The sequence below is a fragment of the Homo sapiens genome, chromosome 5 (assembly GCF_000001405.40).
Source record: "Homo sapiens chromosome 5, GRCh38.p14 Primary Assembly".
Lineage (NCBI taxonomy): Eukaryota > Metazoa > Chordata > Mammalia > Primates > Hominidae > Homo > Homo sapiens.
This window is the reverse complement of record NC_000005.10, coordinates 5,323,880-5,346,374: the sequence shown is the minus strand read 5'-3', so window position 1 is coordinate 5,346,374 and position 22,495 is coordinate 5,323,880. Positions and strand designations below refer to the sequence as shown.

General features: G+C 47.0%; 1 long non-coding RNA gene across 2 annotated transcripts in view, besides 3 other annotated features; it reads left to right on the top strand.

Moving 5' to 3' along the window:
- LOC101929200 (uncharacterized) overlaps window positions 1-22,495 on the top strand; it is a 163,580-nt gene that overhangs the window by 75,755 nt on the left and 65,330 nt on the right. The window lies entirely within an intron of this gene.
- Window positions 4,396-4,895: an enhancer, noted in NCBI's record as "H3K27ac hESC enhancer chr5:5341593-5342092 (GRCh37/hg19 assembly coordinates)". NCBI's record gives its function as "activates a minimal SCP1, AML or CMV promoter by ChIP-STARR-seq in naive H9 embryonic stem cells {active_cell/tissue: H9 hESC(naive)}" and the evidence as "EXISTENCE:reporter gene assay evidence [ECO:0000049][PMID:30033119]".
- Window positions 4,896-5,397: an enhancer, noted in NCBI's record as "H3K27ac hESC enhancer chr5:5341091-5341592 (GRCh37/hg19 assembly coordinates)". NCBI's record gives its function as "activates a minimal SCP1, AML or CMV promoter by ChIP-STARR-seq in naive H9 embryonic stem cells {active_cell/tissue: H9 hESC(naive)}" and the evidence as "EXISTENCE:reporter gene assay evidence [ECO:0000049][PMID:30033119]".
- Window positions 19,819-20,786: an enhancer, noted in NCBI's record as "H3K27ac-H3K4me1 hESC enhancer chr5:5325702-5326669 (GRCh37/hg19 assembly coordinates)". NCBI's record gives its function as "activates a minimal SCP1, AML or CMV promoter by ChIP-STARR-seq in naive H9 embryonic stem cells {active_cell/tissue: H9 hESC(naive)}" and the evidence as "EXISTENCE:reporter gene assay evidence [ECO:0000049][PMID:30033119]".

The window sequence follows — 22,495 nt, the reverse complement described above, 5'->3', positions numbered from 1 at the left end:
GACAACCAGGGACAAGTGGACACAAGGAAAGCCACAGCAAGTGTTAGGGGTTGCCAGGAGAACCCTGAGATTCAAGAGAGACTGTCTATTGCGGGAACCATCAAGAATCAGCATCAGAACCAGGGAGCCCATATGACCAGACTATTTCTGTGAGTATAAGATGCTCAGCTGTGAAGCTCACTATCAAATCAACAACAGCTTTGACTGAGGGGATTATTGTGGTGGAGATGTTAGGGAGAAGAGACTAAAATGTATACGCTAATAATAAAAGAAACAAGTGTGGCATTTATTTAACATCCTTCCTTAGTATTGCACAATTTGAGCATAAACCATTTTTTTTTTTTTGGGACAGAGTCTCGTTCTGTCCCCCAGGCTGGAGTGCGGTGGTATGATCTCGGCTCTCTGCAACCTCCATCTCCTGGGTTCCAGAATTCTCCTGCCTCAGCCCCCCGAGTACTTGGAACTACAGATGCATGCCACCACACCAGGCTAATTTTTGTATTTTTTAGTAGAGACAGGGTTTCACCATATTGGCCAGGCTGATCTCGAACTCCTGACCTTGTGATTCACCCTCCTCAGCCTCCCAAAGTGCTGGGATTACAGGCGTGAGCCACCACGCCCGGCCTGAGCATAAACCATTTTACATTCAGTCCAGAGAGGCTTCTGAATCTTTTTTGCATTTGCAGTTATCCTTGCATAAATGACCACATGATGGTGGTGTGACCTCATGACACCTTTTGGATTCATTCCTTTATTCAATCAAGATTTATTGTCATTACCAAGACTCCAGTTCTGTTCTAGGGGCTGAATGTACAACATTGAACAAAATGGTGAAGTTACCTTCCTTTGTAGAGTTTCCATTGAAGTGGGGAAATTCAGGCTGTAAACTGCAAATTTACAGATGGTCATGCCAGTTGTCAAAATGACATAGGACTTGAAGACCAGCTCTGGGGATTGAGAACTTGGCTTCAGAGTCAGTGAAACTGCCTGTGCTTTGATCTTCCACTGACTGTCCATGTGACCTTAGGCCAGTTACTTAAAATATTTTTTTGACTTAGTTTGATTGTTCTATAAATAAAAATGTTAATACTATTTTATAAATTTTGAAGTCCTGGTTGTAAATATTTAGTATTTTTCCTGGCTTATAGTTAGAGTTTTGTTATTAATACACATTATTAGTAGCTGCACATTCCTCTCATAACTTATATGCCTTAAATATAAAATCAAAGTAAAGATTATTGTCCAATCTAGAGAAAGAATCCTTGCATGATAAATTATCTTAGTCCTGTAATTTCCAGAAAGGCTGGGGACACTTTGACTTCAGGTATTTTAGAGACTTTTTGCCAGTTTCTACTTGAATATTCAGAGTAGATTGCTTGAGTACTGTCTTCCCTACACAAAGCTCACCCAGTACATTTTACTTTTAAATCACTTAATTGATTTTGGTCATAATTTTGGTTAAAGTGTAGAGAATCTGGATGTACATCAGCTTGCAGGAAGTGGTTTATCATTGTGTTACCTCAAATCTGACCAGTAGAGCCCGCGTCAGCCATAGAGCAGCACCTTGGATAGAGAATGAATTGCTGCTGGAAGGAACAGCGTAAGATGAGAAATGTCTAATCTTTTGGCATTAAATACACAAATCAAATTATGTAGCATTTGCAAATTAATATGCATTATAATTATAATTTCTGAGCTGATGGATGAATGAATCGGAGACAGTGTTACTACTGTGATGTGTGCGTGTTTAAAATTAGTTTCTTCTTTCTCATTAAAAGTGAGCTAGTAAAAGGGGTAGGGAGAGTGGATGGGTAAAATGCAAAGTGTGATTAAATGTCAGGAGCTGGCTTGAACTGCCAACTCCCCCAGGCTTGGCAGCAGAAAACCAAACCAAACACACTCCAGGAATACTGTATATTAATGAGAAGCTCCAGCCTCCAGGGGCAGATGTGATAAAATCTGGGAAAATGTGGGGCTTTAAGGACGTTGCCTAGAAAGAACAATAGTCGGATTTTTCCAGGGCAGGAAGTGTGGGTTGAATGAGTTTTTATTTTATTTTTTCTTAATTTCCTGAATGTGTAAGCAACAGTTTTGAGCCCCAGAGGCCTGGACTGGGGGTAGGACTGCAGCCAGGGAGTGCTGTGCTCAGGGAACTGCAGACTGGAGAGGAGGGAAGAGCTCCAGCTGCACCTCTGTGGAGGCTGGGAGTCCCCTTTGTGGGACGCATCTTGGTGTCTGGGAGAGAGGGAAGCATGCATCACATCCATGACGAAGGCCTAGAATGTCCTAATGCATCACATTCAGGTGGCTGGAAAATGTTTCCATCTGCATCAGGGCTGAACCAAAGCTGGAAGGTCCCTTGTTCTGCAGTGATGATAAAAACTTAGATTTTTCAGATTTGTGCAGCACAATCTAGAAAGGAAGAGCCCCGAGGAGCTGAGATGTGGGTGTGGAATGATTTTTAGGTAGAGTTTTGTTGAAGTAAGACTCAACAAGAGTCCTTTTCATTGATTTCAAGTCTGTTGTGTAACGTGGAACACAACGATGGCCTTCTTAATCTGGTTTGGCCCTGAGAAGGCAGCCACTGCATGTCACACATGGCTACACTCTTGAAAAGTGCTGGCCCCTGGGGTCTTGTGACAGTCCATAGCAGCAGCAGGCAGTGCAGCTGTAAAAGGACAGAGAGGGGGCCGGGTGCAGTGGCTCATGCCTGTAATACCAACACTCTGGGAGGCCAAGTCAGGTGGATCGCTTGAGCCCAGGAGTTCGAGGCCAGCCTGGGCAACATGGTGAAACCCCATCTCTACTAAAAATACACACACGCACAAAAGTTAGCTGAGTGTGGTAGCATGCACCCATAATTCTAGTGACTCAAGAGGCTGAGGTGGGAGAATTACCTGAGCCCAGGAAGTCGAGGTTACAGTGAGCCATGACCTAGCCACTTCACTCCCGCACTCTAGTCTGGGTGAAGGAATGAGACCCTGTCTCAAAAAAAAAAAAAAAAAAAGAAAAAAGAAAAAAAAAAGGAACAGAAATTCAACTTCAGGAGAGTGGATGGAAGGAGACAGGAATGGGAAGGTCTCCAAAGGCTTGCAGCCTCCACTACCCAGTGCCAATAACAAGCTCATTTAATTCACTTGCACAGAAGGCAAACCTGAAGGCCACTCGTGGCATGTAAAGAAAGAAAGAAGGAGAGGGAGTCTTCCCAAAATATACAATTTAATAATTTCCATGTAGTCTTAAGTGTTGGTCTTCTCTATGATGTCAGCCATTAATCTCTTGGGATTACTAAAAAAGGAGTGCATTGGAATGACTCATTTTTCTGTAATATTTTTCCTCCTTATCCTCCTAGAAGAGTGTAGATCATCACTGGAGTCATCAAAAGCAAAGGGAGATTAAACTCTGAGAAGCAACCAGGCATAAATCTTCATGACCTTGGATGAGGCAATCATTTCTTAGACATGACACCAAAAGCAAAACCAACAAAGAAAAAAAATAGATATATTAGACTTCACCAAAATTAACTTTTGTCTTCAAAGGACACTATCAAGAAAGTGAAAAAAAAAAAAAAAACCCACCCACAGAATGGGAGAAAATAAACACAGATCATATATCTGATAAGGGACTCATATCCACAGTATGTAAAGAACTCTTGCAACTCAACAATTAAAACACAAATGACCCAAATTAAAAATTAGCAAAGGACATGCATAGACATTTATTCAAATAAAATATATAAATGTCTCATTAACATGTGCAAAGACACTCAATGTCATTAGTAATTAGGAAAATGCACATCAAAGCCGCTGTGAGATAGCACTTCTGGCCCTCTAGGATGGCTACAGTGAAAAAGATGGTGGATAACAAGATGTGGAGAGAATGGAACCCTCGTGCCCTGCTGGTGGACACAATGGTGTAGCTGCTTGGGAAGCCCGTATGGCAGCTCATGAAAATATTAAACACAGAGTTTCCATACAACCCAGCCATCCCACTCCTAGTATAAATCCAGGAGAAATGAAAGCGTGTTCACACAGACACTTGTACACACATTGTTTACAGCAGCATCGGGGGATGAAAGAATTAACAGATGAAAGAGTTAACAAAATGTGGGACCTCCACTATCTGCAATGAATAGGTTTATCCTTTTTTTATGTCAAGTACAAAAGTCAAATACAATGGCCATGTAGCATATGATTCCACTGATGTGAAATGCCTGGGGCTAAATCATTAAGACAGAAAATGAATCAGTGGTTACCAGGGGCCGAGGCTCTGGCTGCTAATAGTATGGAGTTTCTTTTGGGATGATGAAAATGTTCTGGAATTAGATAGTGGTGAGGATTGCAAAACTTTGTACATATAAATATTTTAAAAATACCGAATTGTACAGGTTAAAAGGGTGAATTTTGTAGTGTACCAATTATGTCTTAGGAAGGCATCTACAAGCCATTTGTAGATAAGATGTTGGGGGATGTATTTAAAGAACATTTCTTGGGGTATCCTGGAGGCTGGATGGTGTATATGGCACAGTTCAGGCATTCCAGCACTCTCCAGGGGCTTAGAGGACACGTAACTCAGTGAGGTGGTCACAGAGGGAGCTCAGCCAGGGTCTCAGCCTAAGACAAGCATGCCTTCCCCCACTGCCCACTGCAGCCACAGCCTCGGGTGCGGATTCTGTGTCTAGGGCTTGGTCACAGCCGACAAATGCAGACAAGGAGGGTCAATAAGCAGGGACGTGACAGGGTCCTCCCCTGGGACTGCAATTCATGAGGATGACTGAATGATGGCACGGAGAGTGCCACTGAAAGTCGATATTTATTCTTCATGTTTTCCGAGTGGAGAGGTCACACCATGCCAAGTGGGGCCGCATGGGGAAGCACCCATGTCTGGCAAGAGGAAGAAAGGCGGAGGAGTGAGTGCAGAGACTGGGCTGCAGCTTGTGTTTTCTGTGGGAAAGGCAAGGCCTGATGGGAAGGGCTTGGCACTGGACGGTTACAATAGTGTCAGCAGGCTCTGGGCTCCGGCGGTGGTCTCTGGTTGCCTGGTACCTGGCTTTGGGGCGATTTAGGATGGGGGATATACTGGCTTGGTGAGTAAGAGTTAGATAAAGGGCGTGGTTTGGGGTATGGATTTGGGATGGTTGGCTTGCACACTCCAGGGTAAGCCCGTCGCTGGCTCTAGATGCTGAGTAGTTCTGGAAAGATCAGGCTCTCCCATCAGGGAGGCCACACACACCACAGAGTCAAGAATACAGAAAGCAAGGAAACAGTTAACATTTTCTCCCCCCCAGCACCCGTCCCCAAGAAAAATCACATTCTATGAACGTGTTTCCATGACTGTGGTTGGCTCCTCTATTTTAATGCCTATATTGGGGGTGTCTGGAGGGTCTACCTTTCTGTTCATGGCAGAGATACTCAGGATCACTCAATGACTGGCTGGTTAATTCATAATGTTGTTCTGTGATTTCATATTCGATCTTCAGTTCTGATGAATGGCTAGCACTCCTCCAAATAAACTCCTCAATCAAGTTTAAGGGTCCTACGTTGGGTGTTGCAAATTGATCGAGAGCCCTGTTTCCATGAGTGCAATCCTGGACCACTTAGGGACATCTGGGCCTGGGAAAACCCCAGCCAGGCTGTAGGAAAGACACGGGAGGCAGCTGCGAAGAGCGGCAATGCTATAGAGTTCCATCTGCAATTGATTTTCCAGATACTTAGAGATAAATCAATCAGAATCCATTAAGAAAGGAAGACTGGAGAGGGTGATCTGTGAGCCCTCTGGGGATGGGAGGGAGTCTCAGGCCTGTGAAAGCTGAGTCATCCATCGTGGGATGAGTAATGCCGAGAGGAAACAAATGCACAGAGAATTCCACACACACGAGGGAGCCAGCGGGGGCCTGGGGACGCTGCATGTGGCAAGAGCGTAGGAGGTCTGGGAAAGTGTGCTAATGTTTAGGATCATCTTTCCTGGTATCCCCCACTGCCAATTACAGTCTCCTTGCAGTGACTTTTCCTGAGCGGATCGGTAGGTCGATTGCTTTCCTCGGTGATTTGCCTTTGAGATGTTGCTCAATCCCCCTGGCTTTCTCAGCCAAGCATTTGGCTCTCTGGAGACACACGCAGTTCTATTCTGGCCTCAAATCCTTCTAGGGGATAGGGAGGTACCGAGATGAAGCTGCCAAGTTTGGGCAATTTTACCACTAATTGTATGAACACAAATGGAAGAGGCAAAATGAAAATTGTTCCATACAATTGGACTCAATGTGAACAATTTGGGATTTATCATGAAACACAGTAATCAAAACAAAAAGGGTCCCTGCCCCAGAAATAGTTTAATATCTTTGAGAAGAAAAGAAACATAAGTGGTAATAGGTTAGCCTACGTGTTCTAAACTTCACTCTGGGAGGGGCTTATAGAAATGTCCTGAGAAAAGTCAAGGAAACTTCAAACCTGCTTCTTCCAGGTCCCAGGTTTGCCAAATCCAGGAGGGAGTGTAGGTGCACAGACCCTGGCTGTGCCACAGTTTGTTCTGCTACCAACCACGGCTGTTGGAAACATTGAATGGCGGGTGGGGGTGCATTCCAACATCTCCAGGCCCCCGCTTACCTGATGCAGATTTGAGAGTATGGCCAGGAGAGGCCGTGGCAAAGGCATGTGGTTCCAGGCTGGCCCCAGGCACAGGGATTTCTCTGCCCAATGAAATGGATTCTTCCTTGACTTCTTAGAAAATGATGACAATTATTAGGCTCCTAATAGACTGTTCCATGAAGAGAGAGAATTAAAATGTACTCTTCCAAAGTCTAGTGTGTTGCTCACCCTCAAGTTTGGCTGTGGCTACTATGAATAATGCTGTTATGAATATTCATGTTTAAGTTTTTCACTGAATATGCTTTCACTTTTCTTGGGGTTACACCTGAGAGTGGAATTGCTATGCATATGGGAATTCTATGCTTAACTTTTTGAGGAACTGCCAAGCTGTTCCAGGCTGCAACATTTCACATTCCTGAGAGCAAGGTTTTAGGGTAATTTCTCCACATTCGCATCCGCACTTGGTATTTAACTTAAAAAAATATATCGCTGCATTAGTGGATGTGAGGCACTATCCCTCCGTTGTTTTGCATTTCTCTAATGACTAATAATACGTAGCACCTTTTTTTGTTCTTGTTGGCCATTTGTATATCTTCTTTGGATAAATATCCAGTTAATTTCTTTGACTATTTTTTAGTTGGGTTACTTTCCTTTTTATTGTTGAGTTGTATGAGCGTTTATATGTTTTGGATAGTAGAGCCTGTTTTGGTCCTTTCTGGCTGCTATAACAAAATACCTTAGACTGGGTAAGTTATAAACAACAGAAATGCATTGCTCACAGTTCCAAAGGCTGGGAAATCTAAGATCAAGGGAATAGCAGATTCTCTGTCTGGTGAGGGCTGCTCTGCTTCAAAGATGGTGCTTCATCACCACATCCTCACATGGCCGAAGGGGCAAGGAATCTCACTTGAGCCTTTGTCATGAGGGCACTAATGCCATTCACAAGAGTGGAGCCCTCATGCCTTAATCACTTCACAGAGGCCCCACCTCCTAATTCTATCACATTGGGTATAAGATCCCGGTATATAAATTGTGGGGAGACACCAACATTCAGACTGCAGCTGACCCTTCTCAGATAATTCATTTGAAAATGTTTTCCCCATTCTACAGGTTGTCTTTTCACTTTCTTGATGATGTCCTTTGATGCATAAAGGTTTATACTTCTTAGTCAGGCACCGTGGCTCACACCTGTAATCCCAGCATGGGATCACCTGAGGTCGGGAGTTTGAGACCAGCCTGACCAACATGAAGAAACCCCATCTCTAATAAAAACACAAAATTAGCCAGGCATGGTGGCATGCGCCTGTAATCCCAGCTACTTGGGAGGATGAGGAAGGAGAATCGCTTGAACCTAGGAAGCAGAGGTTGCAGTGAGCCGAGATTGCACCATTGCACTCCAGCCTGGGAAACAAGAGCAAAACTCCGTCTCAAAAAAAAAAAAAGTTTATACTTCTCATGAAGTCCAATTTATTTTTTTTCTTTTGTTGCTTACGCCTTCTGTATTATAATAAGAAAACTGTTACCAAATTCAGTGTCACACAGATTTATAGAAGAGGTTTACAATTTCGGCTTGTACATGGAGGTGTCTGTTCCATTTTGGGTTGATTTTGAAGACAGGGAGAGGTGGGAGTCCAACTTTATTCTTCTCCATGTGGATATCAAGTTGCACCAGCACCATTTTTTGGAAAAGCTATTCTTTCCCATTGAATTGTCTTGGATGAACTATGATAGCAAATAAAAAATGAAATCTATTATCTGACTGACTTTTTTTCTAACCTCAGAGTTTCCTTAGAGTCATTTGTTGTGTTTTTCACTGGACAGTATCTCCTATAAGTTTGGTTGTTTTTAGCTGTCATGTTCAAAATGATCTAAAGGAGACACAAAAGCTGAGTGTTGAAAAATGTCAGGTGTGTCCTCTGTAAGGACACACATATCTTACAATGTGTCTGTGTGCCCATTGTGCCACTCCTGAAATGCTCCAGCCTTCCCTTTACCATTTAAGACTCAACTCCAGTCTCTCCTCCTATGCTGAAGTCACCCTGAGCCTCCTCTGTGCGCCGATTGGGCTTCTGGAATTGGTATTTTACATGCTTCTATGAGTGAATTTTTCTACACTGAGGTATAATTACCGATTTGATTCACGTGCCCCCTCCCACGTTCGTCTGCGCAGATGGAAGGCCGTGCTCATCTTGGCAGTGTGTACATCTTCCCCTGGCAGAATGACCTGGCTGTGGCTCCCCCTGGGGTGTTGCCCCCACCCCCAGGGAGCATAGGGAATGCACATGCTGTTCTAGTTTGTCCTTGCTAATGGAGGGCAGGCCCGCCTAGTGTTCCGTTTGGAGAAGAGGCATGCAGCACCTACCACCCCACAGTGGGCCACCAGAACATTCGCTCATGGTGGAGAATGATCCTGCTCCCACTGCAGTGATGTCTACTTTGGGACACCTTGGCTTCTAAAGAAAAACACTATATTAGCTTTCATAAAAATTCCAAAAGCTCCATTTAGTAATTATTGAGAAAGCATCTGTCACACAATCAGTCAGAATTAGGATCCATGAAGGAAAAGAGTTAGATTGACGGTTGGCCCAACCTGGCCTCTCTGCCTCTAAGATGGAAGACCTGTGTCTCTCAGGCTCCTACCTTTCCCCTTCCCCCGGCACCATGACTCAGGCGCTCAGGCAGTAAATCCAGGGCTCATGGGGTCTTCTTTATGTTCCGTACTTCTGGTGACTTACCTCTTAGTTTCTCTTCCTGTTTCCCATTCCGGCTTCAGTCCTTTGCCACATCATTGAGGAGGACCCTCGTCCCTCCTCCCTGTGCTGCCCATGGCACTTGTCTTGGCTTCCTGAATGGTCCAGTCTTCTCTCACTGACTGGCAAGTCTCAGTTCATCCTTAGAATTGGTTCCAGCCTTGACTCCATGGCTCCTGTGGGAAGGTACCCTTCCTCCTCAGCCCCTCTCCTGCCCTCCATCCTGGCCCTGCACTTAGCCGGTGTACATGGTTCACACAGCCTACGTGTACTTTTGATATTTTGCTTCTTGTGCTTGTGTTGTGACATCAGCCTGGAGAGTTTTTTGCCTCCAGACCTCAGCGAGTTCCTCCTAATCAGATAAGTGGCTCCTCTTCCCACCCTCATCCCAAACTCAACATCAACACCATGATTTTAAAATCAACGTGTCAATTTCCATGCTTATTTATGCAGGCTCTTATGGTAGCTGCTTGCGGCTTCAAATTTGGAAAACTTATTTCCACAATATAATTAGAAAGCCACTCCAGAACAGGGATTGGCTTATACACTTCTCATTCTTCAACCTAGGTAGCACCAGTAGGAACTCAGACAAAGTTATTGATGAATTAGGTGAAATGAATTTATCTAAACACTTACTCAGCCTCCAGTGCTTTTAGCCTTTGTGATTTTGAGAACAACATTGTCTAACCTCAGGGTGTTACCAGACATTGGAAAGTTTTAATGTCTCAAGTGACTTAGGGTGGATAGACCTGGGTAAAAAACAGGAAAACAAAGAGAAACAGGAACTGAAGGAGATTCCTGGAGAGGTTTCTGGAATGAAAAGTTCTTGGGGTTTGTGACCCTAGAAACCACAAACTTTGTGGTCCTGGTGTTAAGGACAGAACTGCTGAGGCTCGAGGAATGTGTGCACACTAGTCCCTGAGTGCCATGACCTGACAGCGTCTGCAAACAATGTCTCATGTGATTAAAGCCAAAGCATGACCTCAGGGATGGGGACTCCTGGCACACAGCAGCTTAAAACTCCAGGGAGAGTAGGTATTTTCTTTACTTGAAAGCACTCTTTGCATGAAAGAAGAATGCACACTCAGGGGCTGCTTTCGTACTCACTGTTCATTTAACCCTGGTTTGTAAGATGTCATAGTTGAGGAAGAGAAAAGAAAAGGTATCTTCAATGATTAGTTTTGTTTTCCTTTGTCATAAGATAGCAACCGAGGAGTGATTTAAGGAGGTCTGAGATGTGTGCTTAAGATAATCCTTTTAAAATGGTAATTAATCATGACTGAGTCATAGATGACTCTATCAAAACAGTATCTTACATTTTATACAGCTTCAACTTTTCCAAGTATTTTTATGTCTTTTATCTATTTACTTTTCAAGGGGAGGCCAGATCCAGCATACCAGCTTCCCACGCATAGGTCTTTCTCCTTTTCCATGGTTTTGTGTGCATAAATACATAATTTGGGCCACCCACTTAATTTCAAATAATCCTTATTAAACACTGAGTATTTGTTAATCATCTTTACATTTGCTATTTCATTGACAAGGAAATATGGTTCAAACATACACATTTACTCTCTTCTCAATAATTCCTGACCTCCACCCTCACCAAACTAAGTTGCAAGAAAATTGGGACCTATTTGGAAGATAATCTTTGTTTTTCTACTCTGCACATATTTGCCCATTTATGATGTTTGTGGAAGGCAGGAAGAAGTTTCTCATCTTTTCATTTTTGGCAGACTTATTGCCTGAGAGCTTTGGAGTGTCAGATACCTCAGCCAATGAAACACCATCTGCTACTGGACAGAGACTCTTCTTTGAGGCCCCAGTATTCTCTGCCCTGGTCTTCTAGGCTGAGCCATCCATCTTTTTCTATCTCTTTTCAGTAAGCTGAGGAGAAATGCTAAGCACTCAGGCTGAAATGAAAATATCTCACCACGCGCTCCCATCCATAAGAGAACCAGGTGCGTTTGCAGCACGGATCCTTCATCACTGTGCCAGTGACCTCATTTTCTTGGGACTAGATACTCTATTGAGAAAAGGGGCTCCTTCCTCATTAAATTACTTCCTCGGTTAAATGAGTGCGTTTCTGAGATTCTAAAAGTAAATTCAGCCAGGTCTAAGGATATTCAGACCAAAGGTGAAAGGTAGGTTGTTCTTGTGTGGATGGCAGGAAGAAAATGTGCTGGGGACCCCTTGATGTCCTGTGGAGGGACTGGGGGTGAGAAGAATGGATAAGGGTGTTGGGCTTGTGGGAGCCCAGTGCGGCTGGGAGGGAGCTGGGGGCACGTGCTGAGCTTGTACTTGCACATGGTGAGTGTGTGGCCCTGCCAGGACACCCAGGGGAGCTTGTCTCAGGGGCCAATTGTCAACCAGAGGCCCGTGCGGGAAGGGTTTGGAGGCTGAAGACTAAGCAGGGAGTCAACTGGGCACAGGGAGCTCTTGGGAAAGGCAGAACGGGAGTCATCCCTGCTGCCAAGCAGACAAGGTGGCCACGGACCGTCAGAGACGAGCTACGCAGAATCAGCCTGGGGGCTTCTGTCTTTCTACGTCTTTGACTCAATTGGGTCTAAAATAGACAAAGAGAGCTCAGCTTCCAAAATCACCATGTGACCATGGCGAAAATCTAGAGAACAGGTTGATGAGTGTTTGCAGCATGCTGGAGCAAGGTCATTCTTCTACTCAGAGTCTAGGAAGGAACTGCGCCCTCCACGAAGGCCCTGAGAACTGCCCAGGCCCTGAGAACTGCCCAGGCCCTGGGTTTTGCCTCTTGCAGCCCCTAGAATAGAACTTGCAGAGACCTTACAACTCTGTGGCTGACCAAATGCAAGTGGCAACATTGTCCACACACAGCCTTTGCCCCGTTGTCTGCTGATCTGCAACCCAACCCTGCACTCCGTCCAGAAACAAAACTCCCTCCCTGAGTTTGGAGAATCATGAGTATATGGAGTAGAGGCTGAGACATAAAACAATGTCTGAGACTGGACCCTGTAGAAAATCACCATACCCTGGGAAGCCATGGGGGTTGATGTCCGTGTACAGACAGAAACGTGGTGGATGCGAAAAGTGACAGACCACAGTCCTGGGAACTCTGTCCTGCTGCTGAGGGGCGCCTGAGAAGGAAGGACTGATGCCGAGAAGATCCTTGATGTTTATTTACTGTGGTTTCCTGTTTCTCAAAATGGAAGACACAATGCCACTGGTCATGGGGTCTTCCCAGGCTGCACCCTCAGTGAAGACGATAATGAAACCAACTACTGTGCACGTGTATGTGCCTGCATGTGTGCATGTATGTGTGTACATATGCATGCGTGCCTGCGTGTGTGTGCATGTGTGTTTGTGTTTTTAAATTATCCATGCAGGTTGCTCTATCTTGATGAAACTTCCAATGTTGAATGGCTGTGCCTATAACTTTAAGGCCTATGTGACCACCAATTTCTAAAAGCAGCATCGGGGCCGGGGACGGTGGCTCATGCCTGTAATCCCAGCATTTTGAGAGGCCGAGACGAGCGGATCACCTGAGGTCAGAAGTTCCAGACGAGCTTGGCCAACATGGTGAAATGCCATCTCAACTAAAAATACAAAAATTAGCCAAGTGTGGTGGCATGCACCTGTAGTCCCAGCTACTGGGGAGGCTGAGGCAGGACAATCACTTGAACCCGGGAGGTGGAGGTTGCAGTGAGCCGAGATTGCGCCACTGCACTCCAGCCTGGGTGACAGAGCAAGATTTCGTTTCAAAAAAGTAAATAAATAAATCAAAACAGCACCAGCAGCTTTTTTCCTCCTATCTCCTCTCCTTCCTTCATTTAAACTCACCAGGAGCTAATGGAGGTGCCGGTGAAGATACAGGGCTCATTTTGAAAATGGAAATAGAAGAAAGAATAAGAAAATTCTTTTTTGAGAGAAAGAGAGAGAAAGATAGAGACATACATATCTAGGGGGCTTAAACAACAGACATTTATCTTCTCACAGTTTTGGGGGCCAAAAGTCCGAGTTGGAGGCCCCTGCAGGGTTGGTTTCAGGTGGTGGCTTTCCTCCAGACTCATGGGTGACACCTTCTGAGTGTGCCCTCGCATGGCCATTTCTCTGTGTGCACAGAGAGCAAGAGAGAGGTCTCTGGTGCCTCTTTCTCTTCTTATAAGGACACCTGTTCTCTTGCCCCACCCTGTTGACCCCATTTGACCTTGATGACCTCCTTAAAGTCTCTATCTCCAAATACAGTCATAATTGTGGGGACACAATTCAGCCCATGACATGTGGTCCTGAGGAGTGGTTTTGGGTACTTAAGGGTCTGGAAGTAAGCTTAGTGGGTACAGACGTATGACAAAGCATAGCACATTCAACGATTGCACTCATTCAAAAATGAGGGGATAGAGTTAAAGCTGAACAAATATTTGGTCTGTTTCCGCTCAGGCACTGATTCCCACGTGCAGTGATGGGCTATTTAGGTGCACTAAGTACAGAAGACAAATAGAGCTAGGGGCCCTTCTGCATTTGCAGGAGGCCTCCCCCAGGGAGGACAGCTTTGTAACCTTCCAATGCTCCAGGAGAAGGCGTGGTTTTCAGGTTGAGTGAGAATGGGAAGCTAATGGCACACCATGGTGCAGAGTTATTTGGTGAAATGAACCAGGGGAAATGGCACTCCAGGGGGATTATGGAGACAAATGTAGCATGCCTTTCACTTATCCTGATGGTTTTGAGCCTGGTTTTCCTGGGGAGACCAGCATGCCTTCTTCGGCTCTGAAGAAAGGATGGTGATGACCAGATGTGCAAGCAAAGCAGGCAGCAGTGCCCTCTCCCCACGATCAGGGCACCCACCTGCAGAACTCCTCAGGCCTGGGTTCCCACCAGGGCCCGGCACTCTCTTGACTCTTAGCCCTGGGGCACATGAGTGTTGCTGGCTCTATTTCCAGACTGCAGATTAAAGTTCTTAATGATTGCAAACCCACTACAGAGGCTTTGTGGTTCAGCCTCCAGCTGGGAGTCAGCTGCCTGGGCCAGCCATCTAAACCCTGAAGTCAGAAGAAGAAATCCTGCCACTGAGAACCATGCCCAGAGGCTGGCACTAGTGGGAAGATTTGCGAGACTCTTCTCAAGCATCTGGTCTGTGGAGGGGAGCCAGGTCGCTGCCTGGGTGAGTCTGGCAGGCTCGTGGGCCTGGACAAAGCTTCTGCGAAGGACCACTGGCAGGAGGATTTGCCAGGTGGACAGGCAGCCCTGGATATTCTGACCTGGACTCTGCTCACTTGGCCTCTCGAAGTTATTACAGGTGGTTCTGGCTCTGTCGGCAGCAGGAAGACTGTAAATGTAGCTGTGAAAATGTGAATAGGCATCACCAAAATCCTTAAAAATCCTCCAGAGCCCACTTTGCCTGGCTTCTATTTCAGAGCATAACTTCCTATCTGTCTCCTATATTACATGAGTTGAGATTCTGTTTTAAAGGTTGGTGCATGACTTTAAGCAACGGATTAATTTAATAATAGTAAGTGAAATGGAAAGGCTGGCATCTCAGAATTTTGGAGGAGCCTAAGGAATCCAATTCCTTTGTTTTATAAGTAACAAATCCAACAGCCAGAGAACGAAAATGAATTGCCCAGGGCCACCCAGCTAGTTAATATAACCACCTGTTACACTGTGGAAACTTAAGGGAAGGGGTCACGCCTCATTTAGTTTGGAGCCTGGAACATAGTAGGTGTGGTGGGTGGTATTGTTCTGAATTATTCATTCCCTTTCTGTGTGAGTGCCTTACATACCCCACCACTGACATTTACCATGCAGAACCTGCCTGTAGGAGTTCACTTCCCTGCCTCATTGACATTGGACTTGACCATGTGCCTTGCTCTGGCCAGTGGGGCATGAGTGTGTGACAGGGTGCTGGTTCTGGGCAGAAGCATTAAGAGGCAGCTGACATTTCCAGTAGCTTTTCACTCCTTTTCCTCTGCCAGAACAACAGGATGTCCTGGATAGGGGCTGTTCTTCAGCCTGGATTCTGGACTGAAAAAAATGCAGAGGACAGACCCACAGGCAATATGCAGCCAAGATATAACGTGTTGAAGAAATGAACCTTTATTGTTGTAAGTGGCTGAGATCTTGAGGCTCTTGAAAGGCTCTTGAGCTTGGAAAGTCAGCATACCAAGTTAACCCAAGATGAGTGCATTAGTCAGAGTTCTTCTGTGAAACAGAACCGATAGGATACATGCTTACATACATAGACAGATGTGAATATCGATATACAGATATACAAGAGGGGATTTATTATGTGAATTGGCTCACATGGTTGTGGAAGTCCCCCTCTATTCCCTCTGCAGCCTGGAGAACCAGGAAAACTGGTGCTGTAATCTAGTCCAAGGCAGAAGATCCGAGAGCTCTGGGGCTTGGGAAGGGGCTGGTGTAAGTCCTGGGGTCTAACGGCCCCAGACTCGGGGGAGCTCTGATGTCCAAGGGCAGGAGAAGACGAGTGTGTGCCCCTGCTCAAGCAGAAAGAGCTGATGTACCCTTTTTCTGCCTTCTTGTTCTATTTGGGCCGTCAGTGGATTGGATGGTGCATACCCACATAGGTGAAGGCAGATCTTTACTCAATTTACCAATTCAAATGTTAATCTCCCCCGGAAACACCCTCACAGATGCGACTGGAAATAATGGTTATGCAAGCTTGTTCAACCCGAGGCCTGCGGGCTGCATGCGACACAGGATGGCTTTGAATGCAGCTAACATTAAACATTCTTTCTTAAAACATTATGAGATTGTGTCTATGTGTGTATGTGTGTGTGTGTGTGTGTGTGTGTGTTTTAAAACTCATCAGCTATTGTTAATGTCAGTGTATTTTATGTGTGGTCCAAGACAATTTTTCTTCTTCCAATGAGGCCCAGGGAAGCCAAAAGATTGGACACCTCTGAGTTAAAAGGACCTGGGCATCCCTTAACCCAGTCAAGTTGATACCTAACATTATCACAAAATTAACTAACCGAGTTATTTGGGCACTGGCCTCCGATGACCTGCTGATCTGCCAGCACCTACTCAGCCTGATAATGCAGACCCTTCTCTCTGCTTGCAGCAGTGGAACCATTTTCCAGACTGGCTGCTCCATGACCTCACCAGGGTCCCAGGCTGCCCACGCCCAGAGGAATCCATTTTCAAGCATCTGAATTTATGGCACTGTTGGATGGCTGCCATTTACTATTAGAGTTTCACTGTGTTCCAAACTCCTATGACTTCCTGAAAATGGTCTTTTAAAGAGCAGAATCTTCTACAGGGTAAGGGGAGACGGTGAATTCTGCAAAGCTGAGCTTGCAATGAGGTGATAATCTGTTCTAGGATTCAGCAGAGGAAATGAGAGTCTATTAGGAAGCTCTTGAGTTCTAAAAAATAAAAAGAGTACATTAAAAGTACCTACTGAATATTTTTACTTTTCAACTATAAATTTGACACTGGAATCAATGACAATTTAGGAGCAGAAAAAAGATGTGCTCGAGATAACTGAGATGGCCTCAGGCTGGGACCATGTCCTCTTTAGTGTGAGCAAAATCATCCTAATTTACACTGCAATAGGCTTTCCTCCATTCTAGCAACCACAAAATGGCATCTGAATTAAATGTCAAAATATGGGACTTTTATATTTAGCCTTTAATTTTAACCTTAATACAATATTTCCTTGCAAAAAAAATTGCAAAACATTGTCGAATGAGGTGCTGTTGTTTCTTTCCAAATGGTAGTTGCTTTTCTTTCTGAGGTTTAAAGTTTGCCATCAGATAGTAAGGGCAAAATGTGAAAGCTTTCCCCTGAGCTATGAAATCCTGGGGAAGGCACTTGTCTTTCTTGGGTGTCAGGGTCTCCCTCTATAAATTTAGGCCTGGACTGCAGCATCTCTAAGATTCTTTTCAGCTCTGACAACCTGCACCTCTGTGATATGGTTTGGCTGTGTCCCCACCCAAATCTCATCTTGAATTGTAGCTCTCACAATTCCTATGTGTCATGGGGGAGACCCAGTGGGAGACCACTGAATCACGGGGGTGGTTTTCCCCATACTATTCTCGTGGTATTGAATAAGTCTCATGAGATCTGATGGTTTTGTAAAAGGTTTTCCCGTTTGTTTGGCTCTCATTCCCTCTTGCCTGCTGCCATATAAGATGTACCTTTCACCTTCCACCATGATGGTGAGGCCTCCTAGCCATATGGAACTGTGAGTCCATTAAACCTCTTTTTCTTTATTAATTACCCAGTCTCGGGTTTGTCTTTATCGACAGTGTGAAAACGGACGAATACACCCTGGTTCTCAACACATTTTTATCCCATTCGGTCAAATCTCTTGGAGCCCTTTCCACAAGGTCTCTGGCCTTGGTGAGCCAGAGCCCAGCACGTGATGTCCCTGGAGGCTGTATCCCACCTTTGCTTATTATTTTCCTCTTTCTTGGTACCTCTTATTTGGTACCACTCTTGCCGACCTTTCCCTATTTCTTTGACTTCCTCTTGTATAAAGTCCTTTCTTGAACCTTAACACTCAGTGTTTGCTGAGGCTCACTAGATGCCAGACCCTTGCTAATCCCAGGACATGCACGGTTGGCTGAAAGCAAAGTTCTTACCCTTGAAGAAATCCCCCCGAGGTGAAGAGGCAGGAGGCCAACCAGCCTCACACGCTGTGGCTGGTGCTGTGATGGGGTCTCCATGACCAAGTGCTGGGGACTAGAGGAACCTGGGAGGCTGGTCAAGGCCTCTCAAAGGTGCCCCTGTTTGAGAGGGAGACCCTTAAATAAGCTGGACTTTTCCACTTGCACTAGAGAGAAAAGCGCAGTCCTGGCTTAGGGGTGACTGGAGATTTCCAGTGAAAGGTTATTGCCAATTAGGAGGAAGCAGAGGAAGCTCAGCCCACAGTGAGGGGCTCTGCACACCCCACTGAAAAGCACAGGTTTTACCCACAAGTCCTTCATCCAGCGGCTGACTGTGATCTGACGGGTTTAGTTTGGCAGATAGAATAAGAGAAGACAATTGAATGGAGACCATTTAAAAGACTATTGCAACAATCTAGGCAAGACAATAGAACGGAACACTTTTTAAGACTGGATAGTGACAGCACTCAGAGAAGGATTTGGAGGGGGTTATAGAGTGGAGCTGGAGCAAGAGAGGAGTCCAAGGATGACCCTAAGTTTCCAGTTGAGGACACTGTGTGAGTAGTGACCCTAGAATACAGCAGACAAGAGGGGTAACTTTAGGGGCTGAAGAGTAGGAAATAGTGAGCTTGGCCTGGGGTGTGTCGCATCACAGTGCCTGGGAGCATTTGGAGAACTAACAGGAGACAGAAGAAAGGTGTGCCCCAGGCCTAGGAAGGTGAGCTCTATGGCAGAGGACATGTCTACAGCGGAGATGCTTGAGAGAGGCTGTGGAAGACAGCAATGACCAGTGTGCCTTGATTTGGCAACCAGGAGGCTGTCAGCAACTTTAACAACAGCAGTTTCCCAAGAGAGAGCAGGGCAGGAATCAGGGACAATAGATGAGTGGGTGGTACTTGAGGGGTCACCGAAATGGGACCTTTCTCCCCTCCCTAGAATACTTCTGATTACTTAAACTACAATGAGACACTAGAGCAGAGAGGGGTTGGTGACAACGTTTGATGTACCCTCGGCCCTCTGTCCATGCAATGAGATGTGACCACATGGTTTTTGGCCTCCAGCCATCTAAGCTCTGCACCCTGAGCCCCGGTGGCTGGGAGGGACGGCAGGCCGGTGTGCATCCTCTGCAGGTGTGCCCTGTGCAGAGCTTGGGGCCACTGTTCCAGCAGAGCGCTGGTTGCTCCGACCTCCCTTATCGCTGTGTCTGGGCTGGGGTGAGAGGTGGTGAGGGGAAGCTTGTGATTACCTACCCCAGAGCAGAGCCTTGCTGCCTCTGCCAATGGCCCCTCCAGACACAACTGAGCAACAATGTATCATGGGGGAAAGAGGATCTGTGGATCTACCGGGTTTTCTTTTGGTATATGCAGGAGAAATAAATGGCAAGAGGGAGTGAGCGGCTCCCTTCCCACAGGGGCTTCCAAGTGAGTGGATTTGTGGTCCTCGTGCAGAGCTGAGGAGAGGCTGTTGTGCAGGGAAGGGCCTGGTCTTGCCTGTGGACCCTGGACATGATTCCCATTAAGGGGACGAGCACTAGTGGCGGGTCTCAGGAGGCCCACCTCTGCGGGATGTCCCAGATGACCCCGTCCTCATGGAGGAAGTGAGAAAGCAAACACAGGGACCAGGGCACACAACTTGTATAAGTGAGGGGAGGGGCAGGAGGGTGCCTTGGGAGGGACAGGTACAGCACCTGGCATTGCTGAAGCTCTCGGAAGGGGGCTGGGAGAAGTGGAACACCAGGGAGAGGGCACAGGGTGGGCTCAAGAGGGTTCAGAGAGGCCTCCGGGCAGCCTGGCCTGCTGCCTTGGGGAGCAGACTCTGCTGGCAAACTGGCCCGAGGAGCCTCTGAACCCATCCTGTGCGATGCAGAAGTGAGAATTCCAGGCTGAGAAAGGGCCTGTGCTGAGCCCCTGGTCCAGGCTCACACACACTGTTCAGGATGCAGACAGGATGGCAGCGGTGGTGTGGGGGGTTTCACGTGAGTTTTTGTCATAGGAAAGGTGCAGCGTTCTGGGGTTTTGGGGAGAGTTTCTTCACTTTCCCAAGTCTCCTGCTGACTTTCTTTGTTAAGGCTGCTGAGCTGGGAGCTAGAGGTGTTTCCAGCTGGGCGTGGGGGTGGGGGTGGCATTGGAGAGCTGGAGGGAGACAGAAAGAGGCAGCCTGATTGCGGGCTGGAATGTGTCTGGCTGGGGCCAGCCCTGCTCCTCCTCCAGCACAGCTTTGTTTTGTCTGGACTCCTTCACTCAGCCTGGAATTTCTGGGGGCTGCCTTTAGTCCAGGGCATTGTGCTTCCTGGCACATGGGGATATGCCCTTCTCCCCTTCAGGTTCCGTGGGGCAGCTCCTGGTGGGCTTTCTGGGGTGTCCAGCGAGACTAGAACAAAGGCTCTCTGGGCTCTGTCCTGGCACTGGAAGGCAATGAGAAGCAAGTGGAGAAAATCCCCACAGGCAGCCCCCTGCGATGAGGAGAAGTCTGGGTCTCACCACCTGGTGCAGCTGGGCGTCCACCTATACATCAGCCAGGGTGCTGTCCAGATGCTAAGACGGCTGTGCAACTGTGCCAGCCTGGCCCCCTTTTCACCCATCTAGGGCAGGCAAGGGCAGTGAGGATCACACCGCAATTCGTGAGAATCAGGTTAACTGAACACCTCCCAGACAAAGCCCCCCGCAGCCCAGGAACCACACAGCGACTTCTGGGGAGCTGCAGTGTAAGAGCATGGTGGCCTGCGACTGAGTGGAGAGGGGAGTGAATCGTGGGCACCTGTGGATCCACTGAGGCTGAGGGTTCAAGATATTCATGTCAGGATGGGATGCGAGTGAAGGAGCTCTCTCTAGATTTGGATTTCGAAGTCACCCTGTGGTAGCCAGGAACTTCACATCTAGAGCTTGTTGCCAGCCAAACATGTGGAGACTATATTGTGAAAAAACAAAGAGAAGAATCCCAAACCCCGTCACTCCAGATGGAAAGAGATTCTTGGCGGCCAGAAGTTTCCAGAGTGCTAGGTGGGCAAGGCCAGGAACCTGCCTCTGAAGAGCTCTCAGAACATCAGGAAGTCAAGGAGGTGCAGGCAGGAAAATGGTGGTGTACAGGGAGAGGCTGCACTGGGCAAGAGATGATGGATGTGGCCCGGCAAAGCCACAGAGGCTGAGATGACATGGGCACTGTGTGTCCACAAAAGACAGACCATGTAAAGAGAGGAACGGAAGGTGAGGGGCACAGGGTGAGGTTCGAGGTCACAGTTGAACACCCAGCTGTGCCATTTACTGGCTCCATGGCCTGGAAGAGTCACGAGGCCTCGATGTGCTGCTCCCTCTTCCTCCCGCCGTGGACAGGGCCATTGATGGTGCCTCCCCCAAGGGAGGGTCAAATGGGCCTTTGCACATGAAGCGTTCATCTCAGGGCTTGGCACACAGCCAATGCTAAATATAGCCTAAGGCAAATGCAGCCCACCCCAGTTGGATGTTGTGATGTTGGCTATAGAAGCAGACGAAGGCTTTGGCCAGTGCCTGACATGATCTAAGCCAGCCTCTCTCAAGCCCGTTGTAGGGGTGTGTCAGGCCAGTTGGAGCAGCGGATTGGGACACAGAGACGGCCTGGGTGAGAGATGCTAACCAGGTGCCTGGCCGATGAGTCCTGCAGCCCCAACAACCCTGGCTCTAGGCAACACCTCACCTGCCACGCCACCCTTCTCCACCCGGCATCTGTCTCAAGTGCAGAGTCATGAACAGAACACAGACTGGTGACGGGTGAATTATGGGTAGATCATTGGCAAGTCGCAGACAAATCATGGGTGGATCCTGGGAAGGTTATGGGTGCTTCTTCCATCTGCCCCTCTTGCCCATGCTCTCTTCTCACTGTAAGAGCCCAGGTTGAAGAGCCCAGGTTTCTGGTCTACCATTTCCCTCCTTAACAGAAGCAAATCCACCCCCTCAGCCTGGCCCCATCCTGTGGTCATGGTCAACCTCATAGTGCATCCATTTGCGGCCATACATTATTTCACTGCTGGAACAAAAAGCCCTTGAAGGCAGGCCCACATCTTGGCCATTTTTGCCTCCTTCATGGAACAAGGTCAGCAGGTGTCCCATGAAGGGCTATTGACGATGTGATAGAAGGATTACTGAAAAGCTTCTGTTTGAAGGATGGAGGTTTAGAGGACAGCCCCAGTGCCTGGGTGAGTCAGTAAGATTGTGGTACCCAATGGCTCTGGGTTTTGGAATAAGCTGCCCCCAGCTCCCCAGAATCCTGTAGAATTCTGCAGAATCCCCCTTTCTCTCTGGCAACTCCAGAAAAAGCTATATAAATTTTCTGTCAGAATTTCTGCTCTGTAAAATGGGATTGGGAATATCTCCTCCCATAAGTGGGTCTGTGCATTGGAAGAGGTGGTGCAGAGCCTGTTGTGCCACGTCAACAGCTGGTGTTATGCACAGACCAGGCAGCCAGAGCATGTGTGGGACCCGCCATCCATTCCAACAGCCGACATCCCGAGAGCAGGTGTCTGCCTTTGTCACACCAGTGGTACTGGCTTCTCACCGGGTCCCAGTTACTGCTGGTTAAATCCAACCCC